Consider the following 20,242-nt stretch of genomic DNA (forward strand, 5'->3'; position numbering starts at 1 on the left):
GGAATATTATGGACCCCAGCAACCGAATTAGCATGTGCTGAATATCTGCATATGCTAGATTTGCTGAACATGAATAAAAGTATAAAATGTATGTATATTAGCACCAAGTTTCATCTGTTCTTCATTATCCAAATCAATAATGCAAATCAGAGAAAAATACACATCAAAATTATATGAACTGTTAGAATGTAAAAGGAGAAGCTCTTAATATATCATGATGAAAAGGAAATTTTGATGTGTGGAACTGATATTAATATGCTAGACTTTCAACTTGTGACTAGGTAACTTTCATTTTCACATAAAAATCAAATTAGAAGTTCACAGTAAAAAACAAATTCCCACATAAATCCCAATTTCCTGAAATAACAGTATTTACAATCCTAAGCATTAATCATCTCAAGACTCTACAAAGTACTTAAAGAAAATGCAGTTAAGTACAATAATGACCTTCCTCATTTATAAGACAATGAGAATGAAGAGTTTTCTTCTCATCTAACAATTCCTATCAATTGACAGTAGTTGCCTGAAGTCCTGAGATGAGGAGTATCGTGATTGACTATTAATGTCTGCCATGGGTGACAGCGTGGGGAGATATGGCACAAGTGCTAGATATCTGCCATTCCTGCATCAGCAGCATGATGGAGTGGGGAGAAACAAATTAGATTTTGCGCCAGCTGAAGATCTAACTCTGCTATACATGAGGCTGTTTATTTTTAACCTTTTATTATAGAAAATTTTAAACATATACAAAAGAGACAATGGTATAATGAACCTCTATGTACCTATCACCCAGCTTCAACAATTATCAACTCACAGCCAATTGTTATTTCATTTTTCCATCTCTATATTGTTTAGAAGCAAATCACAGACATCATAGCATTCACAAACTGTTTTTCTGACCAGTGGCTAACTGCCTAACGTGCCTTGGTTGTTATAAAATAAATGCTTTTAAATTGCTAAGTGTTTTTTAGTGTGTAATATTAAGAGGAAATCAGACTGAGATAGGTTATATTTTAGAAAGGGTCTAAAAATTAATGATTTGTTTTAGAAATCAACTGCATTGTAACCTAATTAGCCTGCAATTTGTATGTACAAGTTTGTAGACAAAATTTAGTGTATGTACTTGGAAGTATGCAAAATCCTCAGGCTCAGCTTGCAATTATTATGCACTAACCGTGTGCCAGACACTATACACAGCACAGTCACCTCCTTTTATCCTCCTCAGAGCCCTGTAAGACACTGCTATCACAAGACAAACTGAGGCACATGTACTAAGCAGTGAATCTGAGGTCACTCAGCCCGAAAGAGGAAAAATCACAGAATAATGTACTGTTTTAATAAAACATGGCTTCCAATACACCTAAACTTCCTTAGCCATATTCAACCAGAACTTATAACTTTCTGATGTTCCATTTGGTAGATTTTACTTTTTCTACTCAAGCTGTGTTTGAAACTAGAGTCCAATAGCTACACAAAGTTCAGATATGTCTGACAAAAACCTTGAAGAGAGACATGGAGGGAAACAAGTAAGTTTAGAGCTAATATTTGTTTTTCATTAATCATTTGCTTTTCTCACTGACCCTGTCAGAGAGATAGGGCACATGCTCTGACTGCCTATAGAGAAGGAGACCAGTGCCTCCTTCATCCCCAGACTTCAGAAAAGAACTACATGAACTGACCTCTATACCTTCTTTATGCTCTTTCACAATCGTTTAATTTTTATCTTGAGAAATAGTTGAGAAGGTGAAAATGAATATGAGAAAATACTCTTTAGGAATATTAGGGTGCAGATACCCATTTTATGTTAAATATTTAAAATGTTGGGGACATCAATACATCTGTTCAACATAGTGTAGTGATGAAAAGGAAATTGTTTAGAGGCAGAAGGAACTGACCTCTAATTGTCTGGTTGCTCCTGAGCTAGTCACTTTTCTATGGTCTTGTTTTCTCAGTAAAATCAGAAGGGTAGATTGTATCACAAATTGCAGTTGACAGTCTGTAGGTGTTTAACATATGGATTGTAGTTTGGTTTTGGTTTTCTAATTGGAATTAGCTGCCAATACTTAGAAATTGAAGGATTTTCTATCTTTCCTGGACCCTCCTTTTACATGGTAAGAATCGGGGATCTTCTAATAGAGCTTCTACCCTCAGAGAGGATGGGTAGCCTATTATTCTCCCCATTCTTCATTACTTCTTATTGTTTCCCTGACACAGGCTGACAGTCAGGTGCCCTTTATCATTGTACTTGCAATGACTTGTGATGTATTTCACTCTTACATTCCCTGCCTGGGCCCTGGAGACATCTGCAATTGCAACCTGGATTTTTTGAACTCTAAGAGGTTCTATGGTTGTCTGGTAAAATATAACATCTCCAGTAGCTAAGGCTGCAATACATTGTCTAATTAAAGTTTTCCAGCAGTGGGAGCTTTGGCGTCTAAACTGCAGAACTCACCTTCTCACCCAGGTCACTGTAATTTCCAGAGGAAGTGCTGACTCCTGGATCTGGGAGTTGAGGTGAGCTTGTTGGATTCTGTTTAAGTACATCTCCTCTGCCTTCTCTTTGCCTTGGTATTCAGCATTCACTGACAGTTCCTTTAAACTTCTTGGGCATTGACATTCAAATCTGAACAATAGCCAACTCGATTATTCTGGCCACTTGCTTTATCATTGTCTGTCTGTATAGTGCTTTACAATTTTTAATTTTTTTTTCTAAATATTGTTTGCTTTTCACACTAACCCTGTCAGAGAAATAGAGCAGAAATTGCACCCACTGTATACAAGTAAGGGGAAACAAGATATTATTAACAGAAGTTTTTATTCTTCAGCCTTTCCTCTTAAAACCAGACCCTGGTACTTTGTTTTTAAAGCTATTTCCTAAATACAAAAATAAAAATGTGTTTATTTAATTAAAACATCATTCTCCAAGACCTAAAGACTTTTAGACTACATTATTCTCCTCCCCACTGCGACATAATTGAAGATTGATATGATACATTTTTTTAATTAGGCCCGTCTGGTTTTCCCACTGAGAAAAAAGGAATGTGTCATCTTTATGCCAGCTGACTTAAATAAAAATCCACTTGGATTTAGCCTTTTCATGCTGGTGCTACACCAAAACAACCAGAATGTGAAATGTGAAATATTTACCTTTATCTCATCCTAGAGAGAAACTGTGAATTATTATAGTGAAATATATTCTTTCTTGGAGCACTGAGTAAATGAATATTACTGCAGAATTTTTGTGTTTCCTTCCTTCTTAACTGCAAACCAATCAAAATGAGTTCAGAGAAATCTTTAGGAGGAAAACAGAGGGGAGAGTGCCATGTTCTTAATTTCAAAGGTACTGTGTTTGTGTGTGTGTGTGTGTGTGTGTGTTTGTGTGTGTGTGTGTGTGTGTTGGTTAATTTTATGTGTTAACTTGGCTAAGCCACAGTACCCCAATAATTTGTCAAACATGGGTCTAGATGTGTGTGTGAAGGTATTTTTTAGATGAGACTAACATTTTAAATGGTAGACTTTGAGTAAAGCAGATTAGGCACCATAATGTGAGTGGGCATCATCCAATCAATTGAAGGCCTTAATAGAAAAAGACTGAAGAGCAAATTCTGCCAAAAACTGCCTTCCAAATTGCATGGCAACTCTTCTCCAGTCCTGCTGAGTTTGGACTTGCCAGCCTCCATAATTGCATAAGCCAACTCCTTAAAATAAATCAACCTCTCTCGATAGATAGATAGATAGATAGATAGATGGATAGATAGATAGATAGATAGATAGATAGATAGATAGATAGATAGATAGATAGATAGATATCCTACTGGTTCTGTTTCCCTGAAGAACACTGATTATTAAAGCGTATGCATGTGGTGTGGGTGTGTTATATCCTATAACAATTAAGGCTCTACACCAGAAATTGACAAATTGCAAATTTCTGTAAACAGCAAGAAAGTAAGTATCTTAGGCTTTGAAGGACATATAATTTTTGCATCTACTCAGTTCTGTCATCTTTGTTGCTCCAAAGCAGTCATAGACAGTGGCTGTAACAAACAGCATAGCTGTGTTCCAATAAAACTTTATTTATAAACATAGGGGCTAAGAAGAATCCCATGTCTTCCTGACTTGGAGGAAGATGTCTGGTTTGTGTTCATCAGACTTGTCCATTCTCTTGAGATGAGCCACTGGTTTTAAGTATCAGTACCTGTTTTGTCAACATGAAACACTTGTGCTTTCTTTTTCTCAACCATGAGGCCTCTCAAGGCCTACCAGCCAATTCTTAGCCATTTACAACCTGTTCTGGGTACTTGGGAAATTCTAGGATGCCCCTCACCTTGAGACTCTGGAACTGTTCATGTGGGGTCAGGAGATTCGGGAATTATCTCCCTAGTTATGCCACTCAGTCGTTGCTACTCAGACACCAAGAAAGACCTGAGATTTGTCATTGAGACTTAGTTTCCAACTGTGAAGCTAAGCAGTGATTCATTGTTTTCTAGGAACTTTTCCCATGAATTAGGAGAAGTTCCAGTTGATGCTGCACTTCTCCATCCAGCATCCCAGAGTCCTGGGCCATAGGCAGGATCTACATTTTGAATATGTTCTTCCTCTTATTCTTCTCCTAAGAACTGTTTTGGCTATAGGAAAACTGTTCTTACATAAATATGTATGCTTGGAGTTTCAAAACTCTTTTGCTCTGACTATACCATGTTTGAGGGCTTAACAGAAAACAAAATCTTCTCTCAATGCTTGCAATTTAAATATTTTTGCTTTTTTTGAGGGTAAGTCTCACTCTGTTGCCCAGGCTGGAGTGCAGTGGCACAATCTTGGCTCACAGCAGAGGTTGCCTCCCAGCTTCAAGCGATTCTCCTGCCTCAGCCTCCTGAGTAGCTGGGATTACAGGCATGTAAGACCACACCTGGCTAATTTTTGTATTTTCAGTAGAGATGGGGTTTTGCCATGTTGACCAAGCTGGTCTGGAACTCCTGGCCTCAAGTGATCTTCCTGCCTTGGCCTCCCAAAGTGCTGGGATTACAGGTGTGAGCCACAGCAACCAGCCCAACTTCTGCTTTCAAAAGCATATTTTAGAGTTAAAATTGAAGAATCTGATCTATTATTCTAAGATCTCTTAGAACCCTCTTCTCTCCCCATCATCCTTACACACAACACACACACACACACACACACACACACACACACACACACACACACACTTCACCATAGAAAGACATCCTGGTTTCCAGACGCTTGAGTGTCTGGCTATTCTCTGGACCTATTAAACAGCACTTAACACTGACATCTTTTTTTTTTAACATCTGAAGGTCACTTGCATGTGTAAAACATATTGCCTTAGGGGGTAGCAGCTAAAGATTGTGGGGTTTCCTTTAGGGGTGATGAAAATGTTCTAAAAGTGATTATCGTAATGTTTGTACAACTTCATAAATATAATGAGTCACTGAATTGCACACTTTACATGGGCAAATTATATGCTATATAAATTATATCTCAATATAGTTGCTTCAGAAACAGTATTTAGCATTTGGTTGTTGTTGCTTTAATGGCGCAGCTCCCTTGGACCCCTGACTGTGTGTCTGAGGAGATGGACAAGAACTACTTAGAGACATTCTGCTCCCCACATGTGTACTTTTTTGTTCTTCTCACATATTTCCTATACTTCAAAACCCTCCCTAGTTCACTCCTTGCCCCTCTCCCCCAAATCTCATACATTTGTGCTTAATCTAGAGAATCCTGACTCCTCCTTTGGGAAACAGTTTAAACATGAGCTATTTCTGTGAAGTTCTCCTTCAGCAGCCAAATGTGAGTTAAGGAGCCCTGCCATGTGCTCATATACTACCTTGGAGTTTCTCTATCTCTGCCTGTTTCACACTCTATCATAATTGCCTCCTTACTGGTCTGTGAGCTTTGTGAAAGCAGGAATCACATTCATTATGTCCACTAGTATATACCCAGTTCCTGGAAGATAGTATTGGATGGACGGACGGATGGATGGATGGATGGATGGATGGATGGATGGATGGATGGATGAGTGGGTGGGTGGAAGGGTGGGCAGACAGACTGACGGATACATGCATGACCCACTCTCTAATATATAGTTTAGGATTTTATTTCCATGGGATAAAAACTGATGGAAGCAACAAAGAAGATGTTTCTCTCTCTCAAGTCAGGAGAAAGAGGGGAGGAAGTCACAACTCAGATTAGTCATTTTGTGTTTTCAGAATCTTAATTTTTTTGAGTAGTGTGTAATGAAGGTTTTCTCTGGGCATAGTGGCTCATCCACATTTGCTATTATAATTGACCTAGCTCTGCTGTCCTGCTGCTTTCCCTGCTTGTTTATAAATTGGAGAACAACTTTCAACTTGGTGGGAGAGCTGTAGTCTAATAGGAACAGTAAAATGGCAGTATGTGTAGGACAATTTAGAAACCTCATTTCAGCTCAGATGGAATGACCCACACTTTCTAGGCATGAAATCACTCATAAGAACAGAACCAAACAGAATAAGAACTTATTTACAGGACCAGCAGTCTCTAAGCAGGCTAGGGGCAGATATGACATGTTGAAAAAGTAAAGATTTCTCTGGCAACTGCCTCTTCTCTTTCTGTTTTCTCCCTCATGGTTCTCACAATGATCTCACCTTGCTACTAACTCAGTATCTCAAGCCCAGCTTTAAAATATTCCAACCCTTTAGCAAAGTGTAGCAATCAGCTGGAAGGAACCTCGGAGGCCACATGGCCCAACCTGCTGCTAATGCAGAACAGGAGTCCCTTCCACGGGTATTCTGAACAGATGGTATTCGGCTTGTGCTCTGTGCATCTCTAGCAATGATTATGCCTTACTGCAGGAGACAACTGATTTCCCTGTTGGAGGATGACTTGGAAAGTTTGCTTCAGAGAAGCAGAGTCTTAAAGTGCACAGCTCTGGAGACATACCAGCCCTGGAGTCCTGGTTCTGCTCCTAACCCATTGTGTGTCCTTGGGCAAGGTACTTAGCCTAGGTAAGCCTCATTTCTCTGTCTGTACAAGAGAAGTCAGTAATATCCGGCTTATTATATTTTGAAAACTAAATTAAAATACACACACACACACACACACACACACACACACACACACACAGCATTTAGTATGTTGCCTGGAACATAGGAAATATCCAAAAAGTAGTAGCTTAAAAATTAAACAAACCAAAGAGTTCTAAAAACATTGCTAAGATTGACATGACATTTGCAGACAGAGGTTAAGAACAGAATAAGCTCCAGCTACCATGACTGTTAAAGTCATCCCAGTATCTTATTCTGCTCTGTGTGGCATCCCGTGACTCTACCTGGATTTGAAATTAAACATTCTGAACACTTTCTTAGTGAAAGAGAGTTAAGGATCAAGACTTACTCAGCAGAGACACTTTTGTATGAGAAATTGCTTGATGGCTGTCTAGACACAGACAGGATTTTTCTTTTTTAATGGGAATCAGGTATAGAGTGGGGTATCTATTTTTTTAAGGGAAAAGTGGAGTAGAAGAAGGTAAAAACTCCTGAGGTCCTGTCTGTGCCTCTGAGTCATCTTGCTTTGGCAAGCCTGTGGTTAGTACCACCACTGCTAGTGAATACTACTTAACAACACAAAATCAAACAAATTAGTTTAGAAGGAAAGGCTGTTCCTTTACTATCAGTACCTGCATGCGGAGTTTGATGACTACAATTGTGATTTCAGTTCATTTTTTTTTTTCTATTTCTAAAGCTTGAAATTACCTAGCCAGTCAAGGTGATAATTGGAATCTCTGCCCAATCTCTAAAAGAAATTGACTTGTTCTTCTCAAACAAAGGACTATTGTTTTTGATTTTTCTAAATTTCCTTGAATTATAATCAAGAGGTATATTTACAAGTAAGAAGACCATGCATGACTTAGGACCTAGCTGTCAGTTCAGGAAACCAAAAAAGAAATAAGGTTTATAATGACGACAAGATCCACAATCACTCACTTGTACTTCCTGAAAGGTGAGACAGCACCAGACCCTGTTCTTTAGAGTAGCTCTGAGATATAGAGGAGAGAGCTCTTGAGAAATATTCAAGTGTACTTTGATGGGTGCAGGGGACAAACCCTTTTCAATGTTTACTGTAGTGGCATTGATCAAGATCCCAGGCACTCCCTACAAAAGTGGCATTTAAGAGAAGTAGTAGCTAAGTGAACAGTGGGGGAAAGTGTTTAGTGGGAGCAGAGGAGGATCAGAGACAAAAGAAGGCATGAAGAAAGAAGTCCAATCTGGTTGGAATGTGGAGGGTGGTCTTGACTATTGCCTGTCCCTACTCCATCATTCCCGCCCAACTAAACTCCATCCTCAGTCAATCTAATTCTTTGTCTACCCTCTGTCTTCACTGGGGCAGTAGACAATGGCCAAAGAACAACATACACTCATACTAACTAGTCTCTCTTTAACGTCATGATTCCTAACCTCAAGTGGGTTGACAGTACAGTCCAGAGATCCTCCAACATGTCTTCGGTCTGTTCTCTGTTGTACCCTCCAAGAAAGCTACTGCATACCTCTCCTTTCTCTTCAAACCTTCAATATTTTCTTGCTATACCTCCTTCTCTTCTTGGTAGCTTTGTTTCCTTTTTCATGGGGAAAATATAGGTGTGGTCAAAAGATAGCTTCCATACATTCCAACCACAACATCTACCTGTGTGACTACCATCTACTTTCCTCCAGTTACCAGGATAAACTGGCCATGTTCCTCTCTAAAACATCTTCTCAACTCCTGCAATGAATCTCATTCCTTTGCACCTATTCAAGGATGTTATTTCAACAGGCACCTACTGTCCCCTCACCTGTATCTTTGACTTTTCCCCCAGATCATTACCATCAGTTGTAAAATATATTCTCATCCCCTATAAAAAAAATAATGCTGGGCATGGTGGCTCACACCTGTAATCCCAGAACTTTGGGATACTGAGGCAAGAAGATTGCTTGAGGCTAGGACTTAGAGACCAGCTTGAACAACCTAGGGAGACTCCATCTCTACAAAAAATAGAAAATTAGCCAGGTGTAGTGGCACACCCCTGTGGTCCCAGCTTCTCAAGAGGCTGAGGCAGAAAGATCGCTTGAGCTTAGGAGGTCGAGCCTGCAGTGAGCCATGGTTGTGCCACTGCACTCCAGCCTGGGCAATGGAGTGAGACCTTGTCTCAAAAAAAAAAAAAAAAAGAGAGAGAGAGAAAGAAGAAACCTTCCTTAACTTGCATATCTCCCCTTGCAATCACCTCATTTATCTGTACAGATTAATTATCTCATCTGCTTTCATGGTTTTAAATACCATCCCTCTGCTGATGACTCTTCATTACTTACCTGTAGCCCAGGACTTCTCCTGTGGACTGCAGATTTGTATGTGTGGAGTCCATGGGAATTGGATTTCCAACAGGTAAATCAAATGCTAACTTAGAACTTCTGTTTTTTCTACCAAGCCTGATTTGCTACTGTCTTTGCTGTCTCAGTAAATGGCAATTATGTTCTTCCAGTTGCTCAGACATGCATAAATAAATAAATAAATAATATTCTTTTCATGCTTTACATTTTTTTGGTCAGAAAATCCTGTTATTTCCATCTTGAAAATAATATCCAGCATCTGACCACCTCTCATCATTGTCACTACTACTCTACTGTTCAAGCTGTCATTATCTCTTGCCTGGATTATTGTATTGTAAATCATCTTCCTTCTTCCACAATTGACTGTTTATGCTTTTTGTGTTTCAGTCAAAGTCAGATCTTATCAGTTCCTTGCTCAAAAGTATCTAATTGGGGATGGGGGACACTGGTGATAGAGAAGGGAAGAGAGGCAGGGGAGGGAAGACCAGAGGCAAAGAGACTAAGTGTTTTTAAAGAATTAGACCATCATTCTCAGTAAAACAGAAAGCCTCTGAAGAGATTTAACAAGAGACTCACCTAGATTTTCATTTTACAAGGGTGTTTTGATAATATGCGCAGACCTCAAAAAACAGTGTGAGGATTTTTAGTACCCTTTAAGATTTGAGAACTTGAAGATTCCCAATAACCAATATTATAATGTATGTTTACAAAAAAAAGCTAAAAGTGATAGCATCTGCATGAATTGACTATGGTTTTTCTTGAGGACATTAAATAGATTCAATCCTCAATTCTTAATGCTTTTATGAGAAGATATAACACACAAAAAATCAGATAGGTAGACTCAGAAAATCCATAGAACCAACTCAGTCTTATATTGTCAGATTATATTAGGGTTGCTTCTGTGATTTGAATCTCACAGACTTAAATGATGTTGCTCCCCTGTTTGCCTTGTATGTAAGAATGAGGCTTATGCAGGTAAAGTTCTTATCAATCAGTTGAAATTGCCTCATCCTTCTCTGGGTCTATATGCATTTATGCTGGTATTACAGGATGCAATTGATAATAAAATGTTGACTTAGTACTTTAACTATTGTTTACAACAGTGTTTAAGGGCTGGGTGACTAAAATTTGCTTCATTCATGCCACTGTGCCCTCTGCTTGGGGTTAATTTTCTACTCCTAAACATGGAGGCCTACATTTCTAGTCTTCCTTAACAAGTCCTTATTGCTCAGTTTAATATTCTTCTCTTTATGAACTCTTTTACCCTTTTATTATAAATTCTACCTGGGCATCAAGTTAATGGTACAGCCAAAATGTGGATACTTTTCCTCCCAAGCCATCCTCAAACATACTCAGGGCGGGGAAGCGTACTGAAACTCATCCTAATAAAACCAAAACCAAAAGAATCTAACTTTCTTTGGAAAATGAATCTCAATAAAAAGCAGTATGATTTTTGCTTTTTATTCATCAGGAAGCTGCCAAGTCAAATGGCTTTATACAGCTTCTTTTTCTTATGTGGCAATAGTTATATTTGAGGGGAAATTAAATATCCAAGTTTTAATAAAATGAGACTTTAATATTTTAATTTATATTTTTTGTTACCCTTCTTACTATGAGTGGGAGACAATTCTCATGGGCCTCTTGTATTTCTGCATGTCTTTTGAGTGAGGCATTAGCTGTCCTTTGTTTTAAACTATCTTCTCAATGATGTTGAAATGGTGAACAGCTTTAAAATATATAGTGTTTCCCTCCAGAGCAAAGTGCAGCCATGCTTATTGCCCAGTGTAATGAAAATTACTATCTCCCTCCAGAGCAAAAGCCAGTAAAGTTACTGCCCATTAAAAAAGATTTGGTCTCCCTAAGCTCTGGGTTCTGCTCCTATAATATAAGCCACTGCATTTTTAGGCATCCATCTGGGCACATTTGTGTTTACCCCCACCCATGGGATTGGGGCAAGGGAAATTGACTCTGACATGATGTTGCTTGCAATGCTTGCTATGCCGCCAGTAATAAAGTCCCTTGTTTCTGACCTGGAAGTCTCATGTCTCCTGCTAGCATCCATGAAACTGTGTCAGGCTACCTTGTTAGCTTGCAAGGAGGATGAAATCTTAGATTCTTCACAGTTATTGCTAACTATGAAAAACATACTTTTAAATACCGTTAAAACAAGAGAAAATAAAACAGATTTAGAATCTATAGTGGGTGCTTCTGGAACATGAAACATATGCCTCAGAGTTTGCCCATACTTTTCTTTTATTTATTTCTTTTTTTTTTTTTCTTTTTTACTTAAGCTATCCCTCTGCCTGGAATTTCCTTCCTACCACACGTTTATCTAAGTCATTCAACACTGGCATTTGGAAAGCTTTTTGAATAGCATTACTTTTAACATGCATTTAAAAGATCAATGGCTCATGATGTGAAAACTGATTGAAATAAAGGGATTTATCCTTAGTTACAATTTTATACCATGCTAGGCAACGCTTTTACTAAGAAATGAATCATTTATTCTTTTACTTGAACATTTATTATGTACCTAGCTTGTGCCAGGTAGTGTGTTGAACCTTGAGGATACAGAGATAAGAAATTCTCCATTTGATGAAGCCCAGGAGCAAATGAATATAAAATAACAATATAATTATGTGAAAAGTTCTGTGACAATATAGATCTTATAATTTTCTCCCACCATGTATTAATGCCTTCCAGAGAGCAAGAGGTGGAGCCCCACAAACCATGGCTTTGAGCTGCTTTTGTGGCTCAGTGTGTAATGTTGTGGTACCCTATGACTTTTAACCTGCCATACCTTCTTGTTTCATTGTCATATACCACTGAGGGAGGAATGAACCACCATATAGACACTTATCAGTGAGAACTCTGGTTGCAAGTGAAGGAACACTGAAATCAAGTGGACTCTTAAAAGGGTGGTGGAAGGTAACATTTGGCTCACATCACTGAAATATGATGTGAGAAGCAAATATTTTGATATTGAATGTCCAGACACTTTTGGATCCAGGCATTTAAATGATGTCATTGAAATTCCACTTTACTCTTTCCTTTCCCAAGTTCCGTTTTCCCTCCTGTGGCTTCCATTCTCAGGAAGGCTCTTGCATAGTTCTGTCCAGATATCCGCCAGGCTTCTATCCTATCATTTCATTCATCTCTGAAAGAAAGAGAAATAATCTCAACAATTCCAATAAAAATTCTGGTCATAAGTCCCAGTCACGTGACTTGGATCACATGCTTATTCCTAAATAAAAATGCCTAGCTAAGGGAGTCTAGTGCTTAGATTTGCCAAGGAAAGGTCATATGACTCTTCCTGGAGTTTGAGGGAAAAGTGGATCCACTCCAACCATGTAAGCTGAACATGTGGAAGAGGTGGAGCCCCACAGAAATTCAGTTTGCTATAGCTAGATGAATGGGAAATGAATACTGGGCAGGTAAAAACAACAGATGCCTATTTGCCTAAAGATACTTTTTATTCAAAATGTTCAAATATAGAAATTATATATAAAAATATCTTGAAATCACAAAATAGAAAAGTGGTTTATTCGAATATTTTAGTAAAGCAGGTATCAAGCAATGACAAGATACAAAATGGTATCTTCGTTTTATATTGCTTTAAATTTTGGTCTAAACTGTATAATATTAAAATACAGTGAAATATTAGCTGCACATTTTCCCTCATTTTATTATTTTTTAAATTCAGCTAATAATACCTATAGGATGCCTATGTGGTTATGCTCAAAATACTGCCATTCACCTGGTGGTAGCTTGCCTAGATTAAAAAAAAAAAAGAAAGACTTTCTAAAGTACTAACCAACCTCAAAACCCTACCCAACTATTTTTTTCCCTATTAACATCAACCCAAATAACCAAATCTGATGTGAAAGTTTGAGATAGTATGGAAGAAGAGAAATGACATCTTAGCTCTTCCTTGAAGGTCTGTAATTTACAACAATTCATGCATAATAATGATTCAGCAAATTTTATTAAAAACTTCTCTATATAATATACTGTTATAGGTATCCTTAATATAAAGTAGGTACTTTCTCAGATATTAAAGTTCTAATTTATAAATCGAGACATCTTTTTATTACAATTTTATAAGTAAATTGCTAAAGAAATTCACTTGTGATAATAGAAATAAGGATATCTTTGGCAAATTGTACTGTTGCAAAATATATTTGCTACATTTTCTGGGAGGAAATTTATACTGTCCTGTCCATGTCAGGGAATCACGTGATTTGCTTTGACTGATCAAGTATGAGCTAAAGTGGCACATGCAACTTCTAACCAGAAACTTTAACAGCCGTTGGTTGGTTTTGCCATTTTCTCTCTTCTCCTCTGCTGGAATATCAGCAATTGTCTTCATATGTCATTGAAATACTGGGTCCTTGTTATTATGACATAACAACCTAAACTGACTGATACAAATCCAAAGATTTTAGAAGATACTATATCATCTTAAATGTGATTACCCTTTTGATCTGCAAATGGAGAGCCCTTTTGCCACTCTCACCTGAAGGTCAGAGAGATATAGTCTGTACTGATTAAGAAGAACTCAATATCTTGGATATTGGTGATAAGCTGTGTGTGATTAGCTTGCACTGATTCTGCCTAGACATTGCATATATCTTAAAGAAGATGAGTTTCTTTGTCAGGACTCTGAGATCAAAGGAATTGAATAGTCCCTTACTAATTTACTTCAGAGAACGCTAATATTTGACTTTGTGTCTTGGCCAGTCCTTTAGTAGTGATGTGACTTACATCTTGTCCTTCGCTACTATTTTGTAGTTTCGTGTTTTCATTCATGGTGAGTTCAAATATGTTTACTAAAATACTTCAATCAACCACCTGGTATAATCATATTCAATTTTGTAAGAAATTCTAAGGTAAAAGTCACTTGAAAGATAAATTTAAACCCTTACTATTTTCTTGCTCATCTCTATGAACGATAGAGAAGTTTAGCATATTATCTACCTTCTGGATATATAATTTCAAATTATGTGTATCAATAGCAGGTACAAATTCCAACCCATAAGGATTATTATTTTTAAGGACTTAAAAAAAATTCATGTAGATCACCCATTCTTCTAGATAGCATAAACTTATTATCAGTTAATTCAAGACATCACTGTCTTGTCATCTCACTCTGATTGTTTATCTCAATTACAGTGGGATTACTAATGTCATGAAAGGCTTTTGGACAGTAAAAGTTGGGTCCTTGTCATTCTCCACATACACTGTTATCTGCCACAATGCTTGTATTTCCCCTGATTTTTGATCATTGGTCTTTGATCATGATCAGTGTGTAGCTGTATCTCCTTAACCCCGCCTTAAGACCCCACACTACATCCATTTTCAATGTCACATTTCTGCCACCCTTAGGTGGTGGGAAACATTTTGCTCCTTCCTGTGTCATACTCAGAGGCACACTGAAACGTACTCCATCAGTTCTCTCTTCCAGGGAGCCATTTCTTCTTGAAATCTTGACACTTTGCTGGCCTTTCCTGGGAAGAGGGTAGAGAATATATGTTCCCTCAGCAATCAGAGTCCCCAGAATTACCTGGAGGAATCAATAGTCTGCTCCTCCCTGCACTGGGAATTTTCAGGGAAATTGGAAATAGGGACTAAGGCCCATTCTCAGGAACTCCTTATTCTCTAAACTTTCCTCTGCTGTTCTAAGGTATCCTTTATCTGCAGATTGTTGATTCAGTCTGGTATGTTACTCTGACTCTTCCACTGATCTTTCAGAACCCATTGTTTATACCCTAATCCAGCCTTTTTGAGATGCAAAAGCCAAGAACTTGAAGTCTTACTGACTTCATCCTTCTGTCATTTCTTACTTAAAGTAATTTGCATAGAATATAGTATTTGTTACCTGAACAGGGGAAAGAACAGAATAACAGAAAGTGACATGTATTCCAAAAAACACAACCACTTTTATATCAAAATATTATTCTATCACAGATGCATACATAAAAATGCATAGTCATAGATTAAACAAAACTCACAAACTTTGGGCTCTTGGCATAGCATGTTTTCATAAAAGGCCAGACATTTTTATATATAAATTAATATTTGTTTTCATTGGCCTTTCCATCTATTCCTGTCTGTATACCAGGGTGGCATTTTAGTACATATTAGAAATCTATGCCAACCAGCATGTCATGGAACACATTAACTGGATTCATGCCTATTCTATTCAATAAAGTTATCTCTTTAGACTGACATCTTCTTCATCTATTATAATTATTACTCTCAGTAAAGAGTGCTAGAATGTGCTTCAATTTTACACATTTTAATGCACTATCAGATCTTACTACCAGACCCAGTCTTTTCTCTTTTAATAAGGGAAGTTTTATGGTGATTCTAGACAGTAACTAACATGAAAGAGCCAAAATGAACAAAATCAAATGAAGGATACAAGAAAATAGAAATAAATTTGAAATAATGTGTTCCTTGTTTATGAAAACTAGTCTGTATATTTTTAATAAACAATGAATTATTCCTTTCCTTTTAGGGGTAATTTTGAGAAAAATGTTGGAGTAGATCACTGGACAAGCCATTAATAATGTAAATTGAATCAATAATGATAGACACTCATTACAGGGAAACTGAAAAATAACTTTTAAACGCCATTTTTCTTTTTTCCCAAATGAGAATTCTGTGTACCTGAGAAAGCACTTGATTAAGGGTTTAAAAGAGGTACTAAGTTTGGCTCTGCTAGTAATAAGTAATTCACTTTATTTCTGTGAGCTGTATTTTCTTCAACAATAACAGAAGAGATTGGACTATGTCAGTGTTTCCCAAAGTGTGGAGAGCATACCACTGGTGTCACTCAGGATAATTTTAGGTTGTATATCAAATAACAGAGTGAGAGAGCCATTCTTTTTTGAATTCTACCATCCTGATCCTGATTAAGCCAAAGATTAAGTCTTGTGGTGCTAGTTTTGGGGTTACTTGGTGTTACTTGTTCTGCTTTTTGAGGATAAGAACGGACTTTGAAATCAGAGCCTTTTGGTATGTAATAGCTTCTAGATAAAGCATTGTGTGTTTATTGTATTAATTTTTTGGTTATCTTCTTTGGGACAAGGGATGTTGATTTCCCATGTATGATAATAGAACAAAGTTGCCTTTTAGTTTTAAGAAAAGCATTCTATTAAAAAAAAAAAAAAAAGGAAATGAAAATGCAGGTAGAATGTCCATGACTAAATTTTTGATACTGCTGGAGAGGTGATCTATAAGGACATTTCATAGAGTTCAATATCATTTTGTTTTATTTTGGTTTTGGTCAAGGTGAAAGACAGCATGGTATAAGTTAAATTGTCCTCCCTTTGACTTATTAAGCAGAGTGCATAGTGGTAAAATGAAGTTCAGAATGTAAATTCAGAATATAAATAATACACATCTTCTGGAGCATCAGTCTTACTTGAAGACTTCAACAGCTGAATTCACAGACACATAACGAACATACAAACAGATGTATTGAGGAATAGATGCTAAATTTGTTTGAATTTGCAGGATAAAGCACTACTCTTCAAATACATTGTAAATTCTGCTTATTGCAGAATTGAGCAAAGAGAAAGTGCACTATTTTGAAGGAGGGAATGTAAATACGTGTGTGTGCGTGTGTGAGAGAGGGACCTCACAGAAATGAAGTGAAAACCCCAAAGAGACAGTCAGATCCAGAGGTTTATATACCATTTTTAAAAACAGCAATAAATTCTTAGAGAAGTGACAAGACAAAGGAAGACAAAGGAAAGGGTTTTGAGCCTCTAGGGCAGTGAATTCTAGGAAAGTAAACATATGGGGAACCTAATGGAAGGCAGGGGTTATTTTAGCAGGGCTTGTTACATATATTCCTCTCCTCTCGGTACCATCTATCAGCTAATAAGAGCCTAGAGTCTTGCTGAGAGCAGGTAGGGGGAACACATTCACAAAGGGAAATTTATACCCCTCTTTTAGACAAAAAAGGTGAAGATAGAGAGCTGCTTTCTGTGTCTGATGTTTCTCAGTTGCCTTCAACTCAAAATAATCCTTATGGCAGAGTGACGTTTTGGATGGCATACTCTGATCCCCTTCAAGGACAATATGCAGAGGTCATGAAGACCATCTGGTGCCAAAAATAGAGACCCTGAAATTACAGAGTATTTCCACTGTGAGCACAGAAGTGATCCAGTCATGAATATATCTTGGAGTTTGACTAAAAGGAGCAGGGTCTGAATGAGGTCAAATTGCTCCCACTCCCTTCCTTGTTCACCTCCTCTCCATACTAACACTGTTGTAATGAGAGTAACTACATGCAAGTGAAGTACTTGCACAGAGTCACAATGGCTTGAGGCCTAGCCAGCTCCACCTTGGGAGAAAATCTGGGAAGAAAATCAGGAAAAAAGGGTTTGTGCTGAAGACAAAAACTGAAGAGAATAAGGGCTGGAGGGAAGAATTCAGAGTGATATGAAAAGGATTAAAATAATCCTATATACTTGAGAGTGTCTGGGGAACTGCTTTTATATCCCTGCAAGCCACCACTTGTATAAACAATGAATTATACTCTTGCACACTTGCTTTTTCTCCTTTCTTTGACCCATTAGTAATATTGCCAGGAAAGAAACGTGGGTTTGAAAAGAGCAGAAATTCATTCTCCAGGTGATCTGTATTGTGTGCTTAGAATGGGGCAGTTGAAACTTCTTGGTACTTATGTTCCTGCCGCCCCCTCCCCCCCGACGCCGCCACCCTCCCGCCCCCTACTCTGGGGAAATGGGAAGGGAATCAACAAGAAAAGCATACTGCATCTCTAAACTCCAACTTCACAGTCTTCTAGCCATAAAGGACTTTTGATAGAAGAGTTTGAAAAGCACCGAGAAAGAGACCAGGCTTAGAAAGTCTTGAAGCCCTTGTTTAGCATTGCAGCTGTGGGATCTTGGGAGAGTTTTCTTGCGTCCTGAGCCTCCTTTCCTTATTAGTCTTATCCACCAAAGGTTGCAGGAGGTATTCCATGCCTGATAGAATAGTGGTAGACAAAAAGGAAACTAGGAGCTTTTTAAAAATTCAGAAAATGCATATATTTATACATAAACCAAGGCTTGATGGAGAAGAGGTGCTCAGTAAATACTTAGTGAATGATTGGATGCCAGTGCCAATTCTGACACTCTCAGAAAAACCAGCCAAAATGTGCCTCTTTGAGAAAACAATATTTTTATACCCTGTGGCAGTATTACTTGGTTACACCAGGTACTTTGAAAAATACTTCCATTTTTCAAATCCAGAGCAACATTCTGAGGTGTGCTATGAAAAAGCCAAACTCTGCAAAATATTCGAAGAGATTTATGTTGAGCCAAATGTGAGGACTATGACCCATAACGCAGCCCCAGGCGGTCCTGAGAACACGTGCCCAAGGTGGTTGGGTTATGGCTTGGTTTTACACATTTTAGGGAGACATGAGACATTAATACATGTAAGATGTGCAATTGGTTTGATCTGGAAAGGCAGGACAACTCAAAGCAGGTAAAGGTGGATTCAAAGATATTCTGATTGGCAGTTGGTTAAAAGAGTTAAGTTATTATCTAAAGATCTGGAGTCAATAGAGTGTCTCGGTTTAGATAAGGGATTGTGAAGACCAAAGTTCTTACAATGTAGATGAAGTCTCATAGGTGGTCATCTTTAGAGGCAATAGATGGCAAATGTTTTCTATGCAGACCTTCAAAAGGTGCTGGACTCTCAGCTAATCTCTTCAGGATCAAAAAAGACCTGGAAAGGGAAGAAGATTCTCTACAGAATGTAAATTTACTCCATAAGAGATAGCCTTGTCAAAGAGATATATTTTGGTGTAAAATACTTTTCTTTCTTTCAGGACCTGCTATTTGTCATGTGATACTATACTAGAGTCAGGTTAGAATTTGGTATCTTATTGCCACAAAGGGTCTGTTTGGTCAGTCTTAAGATCTCTGTTTTAATGTTAATACTGGTCAGTTGTCCCTGAATTACCAAGGGAGAAGCATATAATGAGGCAAGTTTGATGCCCCCTTCCCATCATGGCCTGAACCAGTGTTTCAGGGTTTTTTGGAATCCCCTTGGTCAAGAGGGGGGGTCCATTCAGTTCTTTGGGGGGCTTAGAATTTTATTTTTGGTTTGCAGGTGCTTTACAGTGTTTTCCCCATAGAGGCAGAGTTCTAGAATTTCCTACTTTAGTAACATTTAGTAAACATTGTGTGTCCACATGGCCACCATTGATGTAGCTTCGATGGCTTACTACTAAGTTCCTGCAAATGTATCTCTCAATATATTCCTTAGAGAGCAAGCACAGATAAGAAGGAAAGTGAAGATGGGTAAAAACTAACTTTTTGATGCAAGCATCCCTGGCACCCTTCAGTATCAACGTAAGTACTTTTTAATCAATTGTATTTTGCCAGAGGATGGGCCTCTGTTAGGAGCAGTAATTGCTGCACTTCACTTCTTGCCGTGACTTCAGGGAAAGGTTGACCCCAGGCACTGACCTGAGTTTACTTGGCAAGAGATCCCTGAGGGCTTTCATCTAGTACAATTTTTGAAATCAGCTTTTATATTTTGTTGACTTTCTGAAATTCTCCAAAGCAAAATAAATCTCTCTGTAGAGGTGTTATAGGAAAAGGGTCCTGATCCAGACCCCAAGAGAGGGTTCTTGGATCTCATGCAAGAAAGAACTCAGGGCAAGTCCATAGGCTAAAGTGAAAGCAAGTTTATTAAGAAAGTAGAGAGACAAAAGAATGGCTACTCCATAGACGGAGCAGCCCTGAGGACTGCTGGTTTTTATGGTTATTTCTTGATCATATGCTTAACAAGGGGTGGATTATTCATGCCTCCCCTTTTTAGACCACATAGGCTAACTTCCTGATGTTGCCATGGCATTT

General features: G+C 38.0%; 1 protein-coding gene and 1 long non-coding RNA gene across 10 annotated transcripts in view; one reads left to right on the forward strand and one right to left on the reverse strand.

Moving 5' to 3' along the window:
- Positions 1–20,242, forward strand: part of SGCD (sarcoglycan delta) — a 1,039,957-nt gene that overhangs the window by 963,931 nt on the left and 55,784 nt on the right. The window lies entirely within an intron of this gene.
- The window catches only part of LOC105377673 (uncharacterized), a 45,769-nt gene continuing 37,962 nt past the window's right edge, over positions 12,436–20,242 (reverse strand). Inside the window, exon 5 of the long non-coding RNA XR_007059015.1 lies at positions 12,436–12,513. This is a non-coding gene — a long non-coding RNA (uncharacterized LOC105377673). The remainder of the gene's footprint in view (positions 12,514–20,242) is intronic.

This window comes from Homo sapiens, chromosome 5, assembly GCF_000001405.40.
Source record: "Homo sapiens chromosome 5, GRCh38.p14 Primary Assembly".
NCBI lineage: Eukaryota > Metazoa > Chordata > Mammalia > Primates > Hominidae > Homo > Homo sapiens.